The following is a 15,610-nucleotide window of genomic DNA, read 5'->3' as shown; positions in this document are numbered from 1 at the left end:
CAGTAGAATACACTGGAGAGCCATTCATGCTGTTGTGTGAACCCGGAGTTAGTTCCTTTTTATTATTAAGTAGTATTCCATCATGTGGATGAACTATGGCCTGTTTAGCTATTCATCAGTCCAAGGACATTAGGTTCTGGAACACCTTCTGTGTTTGGAGATTATTAGGAATAAAACTGCTATAAATATTTTCATGCAGGCTTTCATGTGGGCGATAAATTTTCACATCTCCAGGGTAACACCTAGGAGGGTGACGGCTGGGTCATATGGGAAGTGTATATTTAACTTCATAAGAAACTGTCAAACTTTTCCAGAGCGATTGTATTTTAGTAGAGATGGGGTTTCACCACGTTGGCCAGGCTCGTCTCGAACTCCTGACCTCAAGTGATCCTCCTGCCTTGGCCTCCCAAAGTGTTGGGATTACAGGCGTGAGCCACCACTCTCAGCTATAGCTGGCATTTTTATAATAACTTTCTGTGCACTGGGCCCTTGCTCATTCAGGCTCTGCTCTTGTCTATTCACTTGGAATCTGAGCTTCCCAGAGAGACCCCTTTGTTCAGTTTTTCTCCTCTCTGGGTCTCTGTGTTCTGTAACATTTCCTTGTGTCCCGGGAGATAGACAGGTGTGGGTGGGCAGAGGCGAACGAATCTATTTAGAAAATGGCCCCACGACTCCAGTTAGGAACAGTAGCTAATTATCTCTGGGAATAACAAGCCAGCAATGAGTATTAATTAATAGCTCATCAGGGTAGAAAAGAAAAGTCTAGGAATAAGGGCCTTGGGTGATTCCTCCTCCCTGTATGTGCGCGTACACACACACACACACACACACACACACACACACACACACACGCAGCCCCTTCCTCAGCCGTTACTATAGAGACCTCTTTCCTGCCACCCTCATGAGCATTTACAAATCAAGACTGCACAGATGGTGACCTCAGCGGGTCTGTTGTTCTTTCTTCTAAGGACAATTTCTGGAGCCCTGAGGATTAAGGAAACAGGGCTACTCTGGACAACATCTGCCTGGGGCCCCGAAACCTGACCTGCAGCCTGGGCAAGGGGAGATTAGCAGAGGCGTTTACCTAGAAGAGGCAGGGCATGAAAACAGGACCACACGCAGGTCACCCTCCCCACCTGAGGCCACCCAGGGAATCCCTAATAAAGGTCTCAGTTCCTGCTTCCTGGCACGTTAATGCTTTGGACACAGTGGGAGAGGAGAGAATCTTGCAATGTAGGTCCTGGAACTACTGCTGCAGTATTACTAACTAGGGTTTACTGAGCATCTATTTTGTGCCGAGCACTTTACGGGTGATGATGATGGCCCAATGGTGGTACTCATTGTCTGTCATTCACTATGTGCTAAGCGTTTTATAGACCATAGAGAGCCAGGTCATGCCCCATTTTAATTGGCACTGTATTTCCCAATGCCTGAAATTCATTGAATGACTAAATAATCTAATTTACTCCTCAAAGCTGTCCTGCAGCACAGTGACTGAATCTCACTGTTCTGATGTGGAAACTGAGTCCCAGAGAGGTGGAGACATTTTCCCCAAGGACACCTAGCAAGCAGGGGGCAGAGAAGGGCTCTGAAGGGTGGCCTTCCTATTATAGAACCCCCCTACTTTTCAATTCCTTGAGGCCCAGAGAGCTCAAACAGCACGTCAGAGGCCCAGCCAGGACTAGAATCCAGCTTTCCTATCCCCGTCTTTGATGTTTCTTGTCTTGGCTTGCCATACTTTCTGGCAGCCCTAACATGAAGCACCGTGTCCTGAAAATATTGAGCCCCAATAGATATTTGTCAATGATACGATGAGGTCCAGATTTGGACCTTCCAGAACCTTCCAGAACCTTCTGGAACCTTCCGGAACCTCTCCAAGGGTATCTGTTCCAACTCACACCCTCATCCTCCAGGGAACCAGGACCTGTTGTTTTGTTCCTGTTTGAAAGATGGGGAAAAGGGAAGAAGACAGAGGTTGGATTGCTAGCCCGTAGTCCTACTGAAAGACGGAGTCTGTCTGGGGCTAGGCTTGATATTTCCCTGCCTGCCATCTTGCTGCTCCCCTCAATGGCTCTTCTCTTGGCATCTGCCTGTTCTCAAAAGCGATTTTCTAGCTTTCTGTTGGTTCTGTGGCCGTCACGGCTTCCTTCCAATCAGTCCCCAATCTGTGTAAATGATAATGCCAGCTACCATTTATTGAAAACCTACTAGGTGCTGGCTCTTCTCTTCATCTCGTCCTCACGTTAACTTTCCAAGCTTGGTGCTTATTAGCACCATGTCCCAGGGGCAGAAGCAAGCACAGAGAGTTGAGACTCTTGCCCAGGCTCACACAGCAGAGAAACAGAGAGAGCTGCCTTTTGAGACCAGAGTCCCCACTTTCAGCCAAATTCTGTGGTTGGTACCTGAGTCTGAAGTGGGACCAGACCCAAGCCTCCAAAATGTGCCTTTTGGGCTGCAGAGTCAAGCCAAGTTCCTGCAGACCTGGTTTGCTCACCAGCCCTGAGTCCTGGGAGGCCCTTGCATGGAAGTTGTATTCTCCCTTCTTAGCTTGCAGAGGCTCCTGAAATATGCATATTAACAAAATTCTGGGCCAGGCACAGTGGATCACACCTGTAATCTCAGTAATCTGGGAGGCCAAGACTGGAGGATCACTTGAGGCCGGAGTTTGAGACCAGCCTAAGCAACATAGCAAGACCCTGACTCTACAAAAAATACAAAAATTAGCCAGGCATAGTGGCATGCACCTGTGGTCCGAGCTACCCTGGAGGCTGAGGCAGGAGGATGGCTTGAGCTCAGGAGGTTGAGGCTGCAGTGAGCTATTATCGTGCCACGGCACTCCAGCCTGGGCAACAGAGCAAGACCCTGTCTCAAAAACAACAACTACAACAATAAAAACAACTTCCAAGTACAGTCCTTCTCTGCAACTGCCGTCTGGTGACTGCCCTTCTAAGAGGGGAGCAGATAGGAAGACAGTTCCTGGCAGCCACAGTGGTGGAGGGGGGTACACCCAGGGGAGCCCCTCAGAGGCTCTGCCATTTGTGTCTTTGCTCCTGCTGTTCCCGGAGCAGGTGAGCAGAGGGCCTGCTCAGAGGAAAGTCTTCCGGGAAAGATGGAACAGCGAGCGGGAGGAAAGACCTGGAGGAGGAAATCAGCACTGGTGAAAATGAACGATGATCAGATGTGTCCTCCCGTCCACTGAGGTCCTGGGCCACTTCCTGTGGTCAATGCGATAGTCACAACTATTGGCACTGTATTTCCCAATGCCTGAAATTCACTGAATGACTGAAGGGTCTCATTTACTCCTCGAAGCTGCCCTGCAGTCCGGCTCAGTTGGACCCTGAGTTCAGCACAGCGAGGCTGAGGACTCAGACCCACAGTAGAGCCTGGTACACACTAGGTGCTCAATTAATGCTTGTCGACAAAAGAACAAACAAAGCAAATAACTGGAAAGGAGTTAAGAAGAGATCAGCTAGGCCAGGCGTGGTGGCTCAAGCCTGTAATCCCTGCACTTGGAGAGGCCGAGGCCGGAGGATCACCTGAGGTCAGCAGTTCGAGACCAGCCTGGCCAACACGGTGAAACCCCGTCTCTACTAAAAATACAAAATACACGTGGCACAGGCCTGTAATCCAAGCTACTCTGGAGGCTGAGGCAGGGGAATCGCTTGAACCCGGGAGGCAGAGGTTGCATTGAGCCAAGATCTCACCATTGCACTCCAGCCTAGGCAACAAGAACAAAACTCCGTCTCAAAAAAAAAAAAAAAAATCAGGTAGTCTAGGAATCAGAAATTTAAATGCCTTCACATGAAGGCCCCCACTTTGAGCTAATTTTCTTTCTTTTTTTAAATTTCTATTGTTTTTTAGAGACATGGTCTCAGTCTGTCACCCAGGGTGGTGTTGAACTCCTGGCCTCAAGAGATCCTCCTGCCTCCGCCAGGTCTCCCAAAGTGCTGGGATTACAGGTGAGAGCCACTGTACCTGGCCTTGAGCTATTATTAATTAGAAAGAAAAACAACCCAGAGAACATTGTGTAGGAAACAAACTGCAGTGGCAGGGAATCTGACACGAGGCCACTTCTCCCACTCCTTCACCTCATCTATGGAAACAGTTGGGGCTCAGTGCCATTAAATGACACTTGGAAGGTCTCACAGCTCCTAACTGAGAGCTGGGACCATGGTGATGATTAGCTGCTGTTTATTAAATACTTGCTGCACACTTCACACACATTCTCTCAATAATATGAGACAGAGTCTTGCTCTGTCACCTAGGCTGGAGCACAATGCGCTATCTTAGCTCACTGCAACCTCCACCTCCCAGGTTCAAGCAATTCTCCTGCCTCAGCCTCCCGAGTAGCTGGGACTACAGGTGCCTGTCACCGGGCCCGGGTAATTTTTGTACTTTTAGTAGAGATGGGGTTTCACCATGTTGGCCAGGCTGGTCTCCAACTCCCGACCTCAGGTGATCTGCCTGCCTCGGCCTCCCAAAGTGCTGAGATTACAGGAGTGAGCCACTGTGCCTGGTCCTATTTGTTCTTTTAACTGATGAGGAGTCGAGGGCTCAGAGAGGTTAAGGGACTCACCTAGAGTCACACAGCCGCAAATGGCAGAGACGGGATGTGAATTCTGTCCACCCAGAGGCAAATCTTTTAATACACCCTCTTCAAGAGTTAAACTTTTTGTATTTTTGTGCAGGAGGAAACCGTGACCCATCGGGATGGGGGAGGGGGGGATTGGTTCAATACAGCCAACGGCGATTGGACAGTTTCCATGAGACCCCGAGTCTTAAGAGTCAAATCTGTTCCCCGCGCCCCCAAATCTAGGTTTACCCAGGCTGGAGGCTAGGGTTCCCCACCACCACTGGAAACACTCCAAACCCACCCCTTCCAACAGCAGGTGCACACTGTAGGCGCCTAATGAACGCTTCGATGGTGGGGTTGGAGGCAGCGGCAGGGCTGTTGGAGGAGAGTCCTGTTTTCCAGCCCTCCCCGCTCAGCTCCTCAGGGCCTGCCCAGCCCCCAGCCCCAGCCCCCGCGCATCCGGCAGCTCTCCCACCGCAATTACGGTAATTAGCTGGGAGCCTCTCGCCGCGAGGGAGGAGGCGGACTTTGGCCCAGGCTGACCTGCTTCCCGGCGGGCCCTCGGATTGGTCCGCGCCGAGCACGTGATACACGCCGCGGACTTGTTGCTGGGCATCCCGGCGTTGCCAGGGCAACGCCTACGCGCGTTCTCTCTGCCGAGTGCCTGGAGAAGTGGCTGCGCTGAGGGTCCTCGGCAAGAGACGAGGAGGGGGGATCATGAGGGCCAGGCAAGCGCTGCCTCCCTCCCTCCCTCCTCCCTCCCTCCCTCAGCTCCCGCTCCCAGTCTCCGGCCCCCACAGCTCAGTCGCTCCGAGCCCCCCACGGACATGACAGGACATCCAAGTGGGTGGACAGGACACGGCGAGGATCACGAACCAGGCCAGCGAGCACAGAGGGTAGGGCACGCTGACAGACAGACAGACAAACACGGCAGGGGCACAGAGATCTTGCAGCATCAACAAACAATTGCTGAAACCCCTGCAGGCTCCAAGTCTCTGTTCAGAAGGGGATGTCACCAGACAAGACAGGAGACAGTCCCTGTCCCCCTAGCCATCAGCGGCATCACCACGGCCCCTGTACCTGACCACTCCCTACGTGCAGAGCCTGAGCGAAACGCTTTATTTGCATCTCATGCTTCTTATGCCCCAGAAGCAGGCATTGTTATCATTCGCCTTTTACAGATGAGAAAACTGAGGCTCCCAATGGGGCAAGTACAAGCTAGGAGGCAGGGAGGGACTCCCACCCTCTAGGATTGGCTACAAAAGCCCACATATTCATTCTCTTTATGAAACTTCCTCTAATAATAATGATAAAAAAAAAATAGTGGACCAGGTGCGGTGGCTCACATCTGTAACCCCAGCACCTTGGGAGGCCAAGGCAGGCGGATCACGAGGTCAGGAGTTTGAGACCAGCCTGGCCAATATGGTGAAACCCCCTCTCTATTAAAAATACAAAAATTATCCAGTCGTGGTGTGGCACACGTGTAGTCCTAGCTACTTGGGAGGCTGAGGCAGAAGAATTACTTGCACCCAGTGGGGGGGAGGATTCAGTGAGCCTAGATCGTGCCACTGCACTCCAGAGCCTGGGTGACAGAGCAGGACTTTGTCTCAAAACCAAACAAACAAACAACACACACACACACGTGTATTAGTTATTTATTGCTGTGTAACAAATAGCCCCAAATCTTTTTTGTTGTTGTTGAGACAGGGTCTCCCTCTGTCACCCAGGCTGGAGTGCAGTGGCAGGATCAGGGCCCACTGCAACCTCTGTCTCCTGGGCTTAGTGATCCTCCCACCTCGGCCTCCAGACTAGATGGGACTAAAGGGGCACACCACCATGCCCAGCTAATTTTTAAAATTTTTGTAGAAATGGGGTTTTGCTATGTTGCTCAGGCTGGTCTCAAACCTTTGGGCTCAAGTGATCCACCCATTTCGGCCTCCCAAAGTGCTGTGATTACAGGCATGAGCCACCTTGCCCAGCCCCTCAAATCTTAATGGCTTAAAATAATCATATTCATTATCTCACTGTTTCTGTGTCGTACCTGCCTTAGAACCTTCCACAGGTTTTCATCAAGGTGTTAGCCAAGGCAGGGGTCTCATCCAAATATCTGACTGGGGGATGCCAGATGAGGTGTTAAGTACCTGTAGGCCCAGCTACTCTGGAGGCTGAGGCATGAGGATTGCTTGAGGCTAGGAGTTTGAGGCTGTAGTGCACTATGATTGCACCTGTGAATAGCCGCTGCATCCCAGCCAGGGCAACATAGCAAGATCCTATACCTAAAAGAAAAGAAAAAAGATTGGAAAGGGAAAAGAGCCACTTGCAAACTCACATAGGGGTCTCTTCAACGTGGTGGATTGCTTTATTGAAGCCTGAAAACTGAGAAGGCAATACATTCGGCTAACAAGATGGAAGTTACAGTGTCTTACAACCTGAGCGTGGAAATGACATCTTATTACTCTACGTGTGTTTATTGTGGTAAAATATGTACCGTTAAGCATTATATAACAACATTTCAGTCAATGACAGACTGCAATTATGATGGTTGTTCAATAAGATTTTTTTTTTAGATGGAGTCTTGTTCTGGCCCAGGCTTGAGTGCAGTGGTGCCATCTTGGCTTACTATGATCTCTACCTCCCAGGTTCAAGCAATCCTCCTGCCTCAGCCTCCCGAGTAGCTGGGATTACAGGTGCCCGCCACCCCTCCTGGCTAATTTTTGTATTTTTAGTAGAGACAGGGTTTCACCATGTTGGCCAGGCTGGTCTCAAACTCCTGAACTCAGGGGATCCACCCACCTCAGCCTCCCAAAGTGCTGGGATCACAGGCATGAGCCACCGCACCCAGCCAATTTTTAATCGTTTATACAATATTTTTCCTGCACCTTTTCTATGCTTAGATATGTTTAGATACACAAGTACTTACCATCGTGTTACAGTTGCCTGCAGGATTCAGTACAGCCCCATACTGTGCAGGTTTGTAGCCTGGGAGCATTAGGCTCTACCATACAGCCTAGGTGTGTGGTAGGCTGTGCCATCTAGGTGTGCGTGGGCACACTCTATGATGTTCACGCAACGACGAAATTGCCTAATGACACATCTTGCTGAATGCATTTCCTTTTTTTTTTTTTTTTTTTGAGACAGCGTCTCGCTCCGTCACCCAGGCTGGAGTGCAGTGGCGCGATCTCGGCTCACTGCAATCCCCGCCTCCCAGGTTCAAGCGATTCTCCTGCCTCAGCCTCCCATGTATTTCCATTATCAATTAATACATGACTGTGTCACATGAAATTTGCCATTTTAACTTTTTTTTTTTTCCGAGACAGGGTCTCACTCTGTCCCCCAGGCTGGAGTGCAGTGGCTTGATCATAGCTCCCTGCAGCCTCAAACTCCCAGGCTCAAGCAGTGGTCCCACCTCAGCTTCCCGAGTAGCTGGGACTACAGGCGCATACCACGGCACCTGGCCTGAATCCTTTTTAGGTGAACGGCTCAGTGGCATTAAGTACATTCACTGTTGTGCCACCATCACCATCATCATCTCCAGAATCTTTCCAGCCTCCTAAACAGAAACTCTGTACCCATTATGCAAAAACTCCCCATTTCCCCAGCCCCTGCTAACCTCCAACCTACTTTCTGTCTTTATAAATTAGCCGGTTCTAGGGAACTCATGTAACTGGAATTATGTGTTTGTCTCCTCATACTGGTTTCTTTCACTTAACATGATGTCCTCAAGGTTCATCCATGTTGTAGCATGAATCAGAATTTCTTCTCCTCCAGCACACTTTTTTTACTTTTTTTTTTTTTTTTTTTTTTTTTTTGAGACAGAGTCTTCCTCTGTCCCCCAGGCTGGACTGATCTCGGCTCAGTGCAAACTCCGCCTCCCCAGTTCAAGCGATTCTCCTGCCACAGTTTCCCGAGTAGCTGGGATTACAGGTGCCCACCACCACGCCCCAGTAATTTTTTGTATTTTTAGTAGAGACAGGGTTTCACTGCATTGGCCAGGCTGGTCTCAAACTCCTGACCTCAAGCAATCTGCCCGCCTCGACCTCCCAAAGTGCTGGGATTACAGGCTTGAGCCACAACGCCTGGCTGATTTTTGCATTTTTAGTAGATACAGGGTTTTGCCGTGTTGGTCAGGCTGGTCTCCAACTCCTGACCTCAAGTGATCTGCCTACCTCACCCTCCCAAAGTGCTGGGATTACAGGCGTGAGCCGCTGTGCCCAGCCCTATTTTGTAATTTTTTCATCCCTACTTAGATGTATTTTTTTTTTTCTTTTTTTGAGAGGAGTCTCTCTCTGTCGCCCAGGCTGGAGTGCAATGGCGCGATCTTGGCTCACTGCAAGCTCCACCTCCCAGGTTCATGCCATTCTCCTGCCTCAGCCTCCCAAGTAGGTGGGACTACAGGTGCCCGCTACCATGCCTGGCTAATTTTTTGTATTTTTTTTTTTTTTTTTTAGTAAAGACGGGGTTTCACCGTGTTAGCCAGGATGGTCTTGATCTCCTGACCTCGTGATCCGCCCGCCTCGGCCTCCCAAAGTGCTGGGATTACAGGCGTGAGCCACCGCGCCCGGCCCTTTTTTTTTTTTTTTTAACTTTTTATTTTGGAAAGAATATCAAAAGATGCAAGAAGAGTACCATGACCTCTCAGGTACTGTCTTTCCTCACCTCACCCATTGTGAACATTTTAATATGTACAACTGTTTATTGTTAATAAGCCCGGAAGGGACTGGGCACCTCTAAGAACAAGGCTGTTCCCTTACATAATGATGAAGATACAATGAATTCATGAAATTTCACGTTGACTTGATGTTATTATCCAATATATAATCCATATGCACACTTCGCCACCTGTCGCTATCACGTTCTTTACAGCTCTTTTCCTTTGTGGTCTGGGAACATGTGTTGCCCTCAGTGTGCCTGTGTGACATTTGAAGAGATCTTTTGTAATTTTTTTTTTTTTTTTTTGAGATGGCGTCTCACTCTGTCACCCAGGCTGAAGTGCAGTGGTGCGATCTCAGCTCACTTCAACCTGTGCCTACAGGGTTCAAGCAATTCTCCTGCCTCAGTCTCCCAAGTATCTGGGACTACAGGCGCGCACCACCACACTCGGCTAATTTTTGTATTTTTATTAGAGACGGCGGGTCTCACCATGTTGGCCAGGCTGGTCTCAACCTCTTGACCTCAGGTGATCCGCCCGCCTCGACCTCCCAGAGTGCTGGGATTACAAGCATGAGCCACCGTGCCTGGCCTAAACAATTTTTAAAAACACATAGTTGCAGCTTGAAATTTATGGACATCTCTCGATTTTTAGTTACACGGATATGGAGTGTCTAATCTCCTCATCGTGGTTTCCGTCAATTATTGTCATTTTTAAAATCACTTAACCTAGATCAGTAGAGGCCTCACCTGGGGGTGATTCTGTCCCCAGGGGATGCTGAGCAATGTCTGGAGTCATTTTTACCCCCAGAACCGGGCATGCCTCTGGCATGGAGTAGTTAGAACCTGCTCAGCACCCGATAGCGTACAGGACCCCACCCCTACCAACCAAGAGTTATCTGGCCCAAATGTTATTAGTGCCGAGATTGAGAAAGTATGAACTGGATTCATGGAATAATAACACACTTAAAAGTTAACTTTATCACGCCTGTGATCCCAGCACTTTGGGAGGCCGAGGCGGGCGGATCACGAGGTCAGGAGATCGAGACCATCCTGGCTGACACGGTGAAACCCCGTCCCTACTAAAAATACAAAAAAATTAGCCGGGCGTGGTGGCGGGCACCTGTAGTCCCAGCTACTCGGGAGGCTGAGGCAGGAGAATGGCGTGAACCCGGGAGGCGGAGCTTGCAGTGAGCCGAGATTGCGCCACTGCACTCCAGCCTGGGCGACAGAGCGAGACTGTCAAAAAAAAAAAAAAAAAAAAAAAAAGAGTTAACTTTATTTATTGTGCGTTCAGTATTCACCAATCTCACCATTTGTCAACCCACTGAATTCTCACAACTTCCATAAGCATTAAAGACTGTTGAAATAAGAGGCGGGGCTCTTGACTCCACAGGTGGGCCCAGACAACGGACCTGATTGAGGACTAGCTAATACAGGCAAAGGCAGAAAGTACTTCCCCATCTGTGTACCATATCAGTTTACCATTGCCATGGCAACACCCAGACGTAACCATCCCTTTCCATTGCAACAACCCAGCAACCCAAAAGTTACTGCCTTTCTTCTAGAAATGTCAGCATAATCTGCTCCTTAATTTGCATATAATTAAAAGTGGGTATCAATACGCCTGCAGAACTGCCTCTGGGCTGCTGCTCTGAGCTCACTGCCTATGGGGTAGCCCTACTCTGCAAGGAGCAGGACTTCTGCAGCTCCTTATACGGCCGCTGCAATTATGATTGCTAACGCCACGGTCAGGCACGGCGGTTCACGCCTGTAATCCCAGCACTTTGGAAGGCCAAGGTGAGTGGATTACTTGAAATCAGGAGTTCGAGACCAGTCTGACCAGCAGGGTGAAAACCTGTCTCTACTAAAAATACAAAAATTAGGCCAGCTGCCATGGCTCACGCCTATAATCCCAGCACTTTAGGAGGCTGTGGTGGGAGGATCACCTGAGGTCAGGAGTTCAAGACCTGCCTGACCAACATGGAGAAACCTTGTCTCTACTGAAAATACAAAATTAGCCAGGCATGGTGGCACATGCCTGTAATCCCAGCTACTTGGGAGGCTAAGGCAGGAGAATCGCTTGAACCCGGGAGGTGGAGGTTACTGTGAGCCGGGATCGAACCATTGCACTCCAGCCTGGGCAACAAGAGCAAAACTCCATTTCAAAAAAAAATTAGCCGGGCGCAGTGGCGCACGCCTGTAGTCCCAGCTACTCAGCAGGCTGAGGCAGGAGAATTGCTTGAACCCGGGAAGTGGAGGTTGCTGTGAGCTGAGATCACGCCACTGCACTCCTGCCTGGGCGACAGAATGAGAATCCGTTTTAAAAAAAAAAGGTTGCTAACACCACCAGCTTGCCCTGAATTCTCTCCTGGGCAAAGTAAAAAACCCTCCCCTGCTAAGACCCAATTTGGGGACTTACCTCCCCTGCATCTTGAACTCCTGACCTCAGGTGATCCACCTGCCTCAGCCACCCAAAGTGCTGGGACCACAGGCATGAGCCACTGCGGCCAACCTTTTTTTTTTTTTTTCTTTGAGATGGAGTCTCGCTCTGTCGCCCAGGCTGGAGTGCAGTGGCTAGATCTCGGCTCACTGCAAGCTCTACCTCCCGGGTTCATGCCATTCTCCTGCCTCAGCCTCCCCAGTAGCTGGGACTACAGGCGCCCGCCACCACGCCTGGCTAATTTTTTGTATTTTTAGTAGAGATGGGGTTTCACCGTGTCAGCCAGGATGGTCTCGATCTCCTGACCTCATGATCCGCCCACCTCGGCCTCCCAAAGTGCTGGGATTCCAGGCATGAGCCACCGCACCCGGCCCTTTCTTTTTTCTTTTTGAGACAAAGTCTCACTCTGTCACCCAGGCCGGAGTGCAGTGGCGGGATCACAGCTCACTGAAACCTCTGCCTCCTGAGTTTAAACGATTCTCCTGCCTCAGCCTCCCAAGTAGGCACATGCCACCATGCCAGACTAGTTTTTGTATTTTTAGTAGAGATGGGGTTTCACCATGTTGGCCAGGCTGGTCTTGAACTCCCGACCTCAAGTGATCCGCCTGCCTCGGCCTCCCAAAGTGCTGGGATTACAGGTGTGAGCCACCACGCCCAGTCTCAAGCTGCAATCCTAAGCCCCTTTGAGCTCAAGGTCTCTGGTCCCACAAGTGTAATATTTCCCAAATTGTGGCCAGACATGCCGCCAGCCTCTGGGGCTGCTGGGGCTTCCCAGGGACTGTTTCTGGTTCATCAGCTGTGTCTGCACAGGTCTGGGTGCGTCTGTCGCAAGCTGTGAGTATAGGGGCTCAAGTTTCAGCTCTGCTCAGCTGCTGCCGGCCCTGAGCAGGTGTGGGGCCTGGAAATGAGGCCTGGTTGATCAGGACGGATGCTGATAATCCCCATGTCCGTCATGGCCTTACAGAGTCTCCCAGCTCACCTGTGATGCCAATTCGTGGGCTGAAAAACAGAGGGAGTTTGGTTCAAGGTGTCTGCACCAGGGGTAGTCAACTGGAAGGTGGGTAGAGACTGTGCCCTCTCCGGGAATGTTTGTCAGGAGACAGGGTTTGTAGATGATCTTTTGGTTTGGGTTTGTCCAGTGGTCTAATTCTTTTTTTTTTTTTTGAGACAGAGTCTTGCTCTGTGGCCCAGGCTGCAGTGCATGGCACGATCTCAGCTCACTGCAACCTCCCCCTGCTGGGTTCAAGCGATTCTCCTGCCTCAGCCTCCCGAGTAGCTGGGATTACAAGCATGTGCCATCACGCCCGGCTGATTCTGTATTTTTAGTAGAGATGGGGTTTCTTCATATTGCTCAGGCTGATCTCGAACTCCCAACCTCAGGTGATCCGCCTGCCACGGCCTCCCAAAGTGCTGGGATTACAGGCGTGAGCCACCGTGCCCGGCCTCATTTCCTTTCTTTCTCTTTTCTTTCCTTCCTTCTTTCCTTCCTTCCTTCCTTCCTTCCTTCTTTCTTTCTTTCCTTTTTTCTTTCTTCTTTCTTCTTTTCATTCTTTACTTTCTTTCTTTCTTTCTTTTTTGTCAGAGTCTTGGTCTGTGGCCCAGGTAGAGTACAGTGGTACAATCTCAGCTCACAGCAGTCTCTGCCTTCCGGGTTCAAGCAATTCTCCCACCTCAGACTCCTGAGTAGCTGGAATTACAGACACATACCATCACGCCCAGCTAATTTTTATATTTTTAGTAGAGAAAGGGTTTCACCATGTTGGCCAGGGTGGTCTCAAACTCCTGACCTCAGGTGATCTACCCACCTTGGCCTCCCAACGTGCTGGGATTACAGGTGTGAGCCACCTCGCCCAGCGGTCTAATTCATTTTCATTCAACAAATAGTTATTGCTGGGCTCATGCCTGGTAATCACAGCATTTTGGGAGGCTGAGGCGGGAGGATCACTTGAGCCCAGGAGTCTGAGGCTGCAGTAAGCTATGATCATGTCACTGCAGTCCAGCCTGGGTGACAGAGTGAGACCCTGTTTCTGAAAATGAAAAAAAAAAATTTAAACCTACTTATTGAGGCTGGGCAATGTGGCTCCCAGAGACAGAGAAAGACTCTGTCTCAAAAAAAATTAAAATTAAAATTAAAAAAAATTAAACAGGGAATGTGTACTCATGTAATACGAAAAAGACAAGTGAAATTATGTGTTGAGTCTGGACTCAGTGGTTCACGCCTGCAATCCCAACACTTTGGGAGGCCAAAGCGGGTAGATCACCTGAGATCAGGAATTTGAGACCAGCCTGGCCAACATGGCAAAACCCTGTCTCTACTAAAATTACAAAAATTAGCCAGGCGTGGTGGCTCCTGTAATCCCAGCTATTCCGGAGGCTGAGGCAGAAGAATTGCTTGAAGGCAGGAGGCGGAGGTTGCAGTGAGCTGTGATCGTGCCACTGCACTCCAGCCTGGGTGACACAGCAAGACCCTGTCTCAAAAAAAAAAAAAAAAAAAAAGGGAGGGTCAGGCCGGGCACAGTGGCTCACCCCTGTAACCTCAGCACTTTGGGAGGCCGAGGCAGGTGGATCACAAGGTCAGGAGACCGAGACCATCCTGGCTAACACGGTGAAACCCCATCTCTACTAGAAATACAAAAAATTAGTTGGGCGTGGTGGTGGGCACCTGTAGTCCCAGCTACTCAGGAGGCTGAGGCAGGAGAATGGCATGAACCCGGGAGGTGGAGCTTGCAGTGAGCCAAGATCGCGCCACTGCACTCCAGCCTGGGCGACAGAGCGAGACTCCGTCTCAAAAAAAAAAAAAAAAAAAAAAAAGAGGTAAGGGCAGTGGGTGGGTGAGAGGCTGGGCCCAAGAAAGAACTCAGTGTCCAGGGTTCTTCAGAGGGACAAACAGGGGTGAGGGGGCCGGGTGGCCTCATGGCCCCAGCACCAGCTTTGGAGCCTGGGAGACCAGCGCTGAGCCTCATCTTCCCCCATCTTATTTCTCTTACACTAGAAGAAGGACACAGCTGGGGAGGGCTCTGTACGGGTGACCACTGCAGGCCTTGCTACAGCTGCGTTAATCTTCCCTTCCAGAACATTGAGTATATTCTATGTCTGTCAGATCCAAAGCTGGACAAACTTACACCAAGGCAGCAAATGTTTTCTGTTTTCTTCACACACGCACAAACAGAGAAAGAGAGACAGAGAGAGAGAGAGAGACAGAGAGAGAGAGAGAGACTGCCTAATACAGACAGCATCCTACTGAAACCATGGTGACTAGTACGGCTTGGGGGCGGGGACGCAGATGACATTCATAATTCTCTGTGCAGATTTTTCCAGCACAGGTTACGGTACCAGCAAGGCAGCGTGTGTGTGTGTGTGTGTGTGTGTGTGTGTGTGCACGCGCATGTATGACTGTGAGTGTGGACGTGGGGTGGTGCGCGCGTGTGTGTGTGTGCGTGCATGAGTGTGACTGTGTGCATGCATATTTGTGTAGCTGTTTGAATCTGCATTGCAACCCCACGTGTAGGTCTCTGCATGGATGTGATGTGTGTGTGGGCACTTTAACAAAGGTATTCAGAGCTGTGTGTGCACAACAGGGTTCATTTCCATGCACCATGTAATTGGTCGCGTGTGTGTGTGTATCTGTGCTGTGACCGTGTCCTGTCCTTTTCTACAGTCTTTTTTTTTTTTTGTCTTTTGTTTTTTGGCTTTTGTGGGGTTTTTTGAGACAGGGTCTGGCTCTGACACCCGGGCTGGAGTGCAGCGGTGCCATCTCGGCTCTCTGTAGTCTCTGCCTGCTGGATTCAAGTGATCCTCCTGCCTCAGCCTCCCAAGTAGCTGGGACCACATGCATGCACCACCATGCCTGGCTAATTTTTTTGTATTTTTAGGAAAGACAGGGTTTCTCTATGTTGGCCAGGCTGTTCTCAAACTTCTGGCCTCCAGTGATCCACCCACCTCAGCCT

At 50.0% G+C, this 15,610-nt stretch overlaps 3 annotated features.

The window, feature by feature from the left end:
* Positions 4,868-5,067: a silencer, noted in NCBI's record as "silent region_9905". NCBI's record gives its function as "represses an Ori minimal core promoter by ATAC-STARR-seq in GM12878 lymphoblastoid cells {active_cell/tissue: GM12878}" and the evidence as "EXISTENCE:reporter gene assay evidence [ECO:0000049][PMID:35858748]".
* Positions 4,868-5,287: a biological region, named in NCBI's record as "Sharpr-MPRA regulatory region 10046".
* Positions 4,993-5,287: an enhancer, noted in NCBI's record as "tiled region #10046; HepG2 Activating DNase matched - State 4:PromP, and K562 Activating DNase unmatched - State 8:EnhW". NCBI's record gives its function as "activates a minimal TATA promoter and a strong SV40 promoter by Sharpr-MPRA in HepG2 and K562 cells {active_cell/tissue: HepG2 | K562}" and the evidence as "EXISTENCE:reporter gene assay evidence [ECO:0000049][PMID:27701403]".

Source organism: Homo sapiens, chromosome 19, assembly GCF_000001405.40.
Source record: "Homo sapiens chromosome 19, GRCh38.p14 Primary Assembly".
NCBI classification, from domain to species: domain Eukaryota; kingdom Metazoa; phylum Chordata; class Mammalia; order Primates; family Hominidae; genus Homo; species Homo sapiens.
The sequence above is the reverse complement of the archived record's forward strand: the minus strand, read 5'-3'. Positions and strand labels throughout refer to the sequence as shown.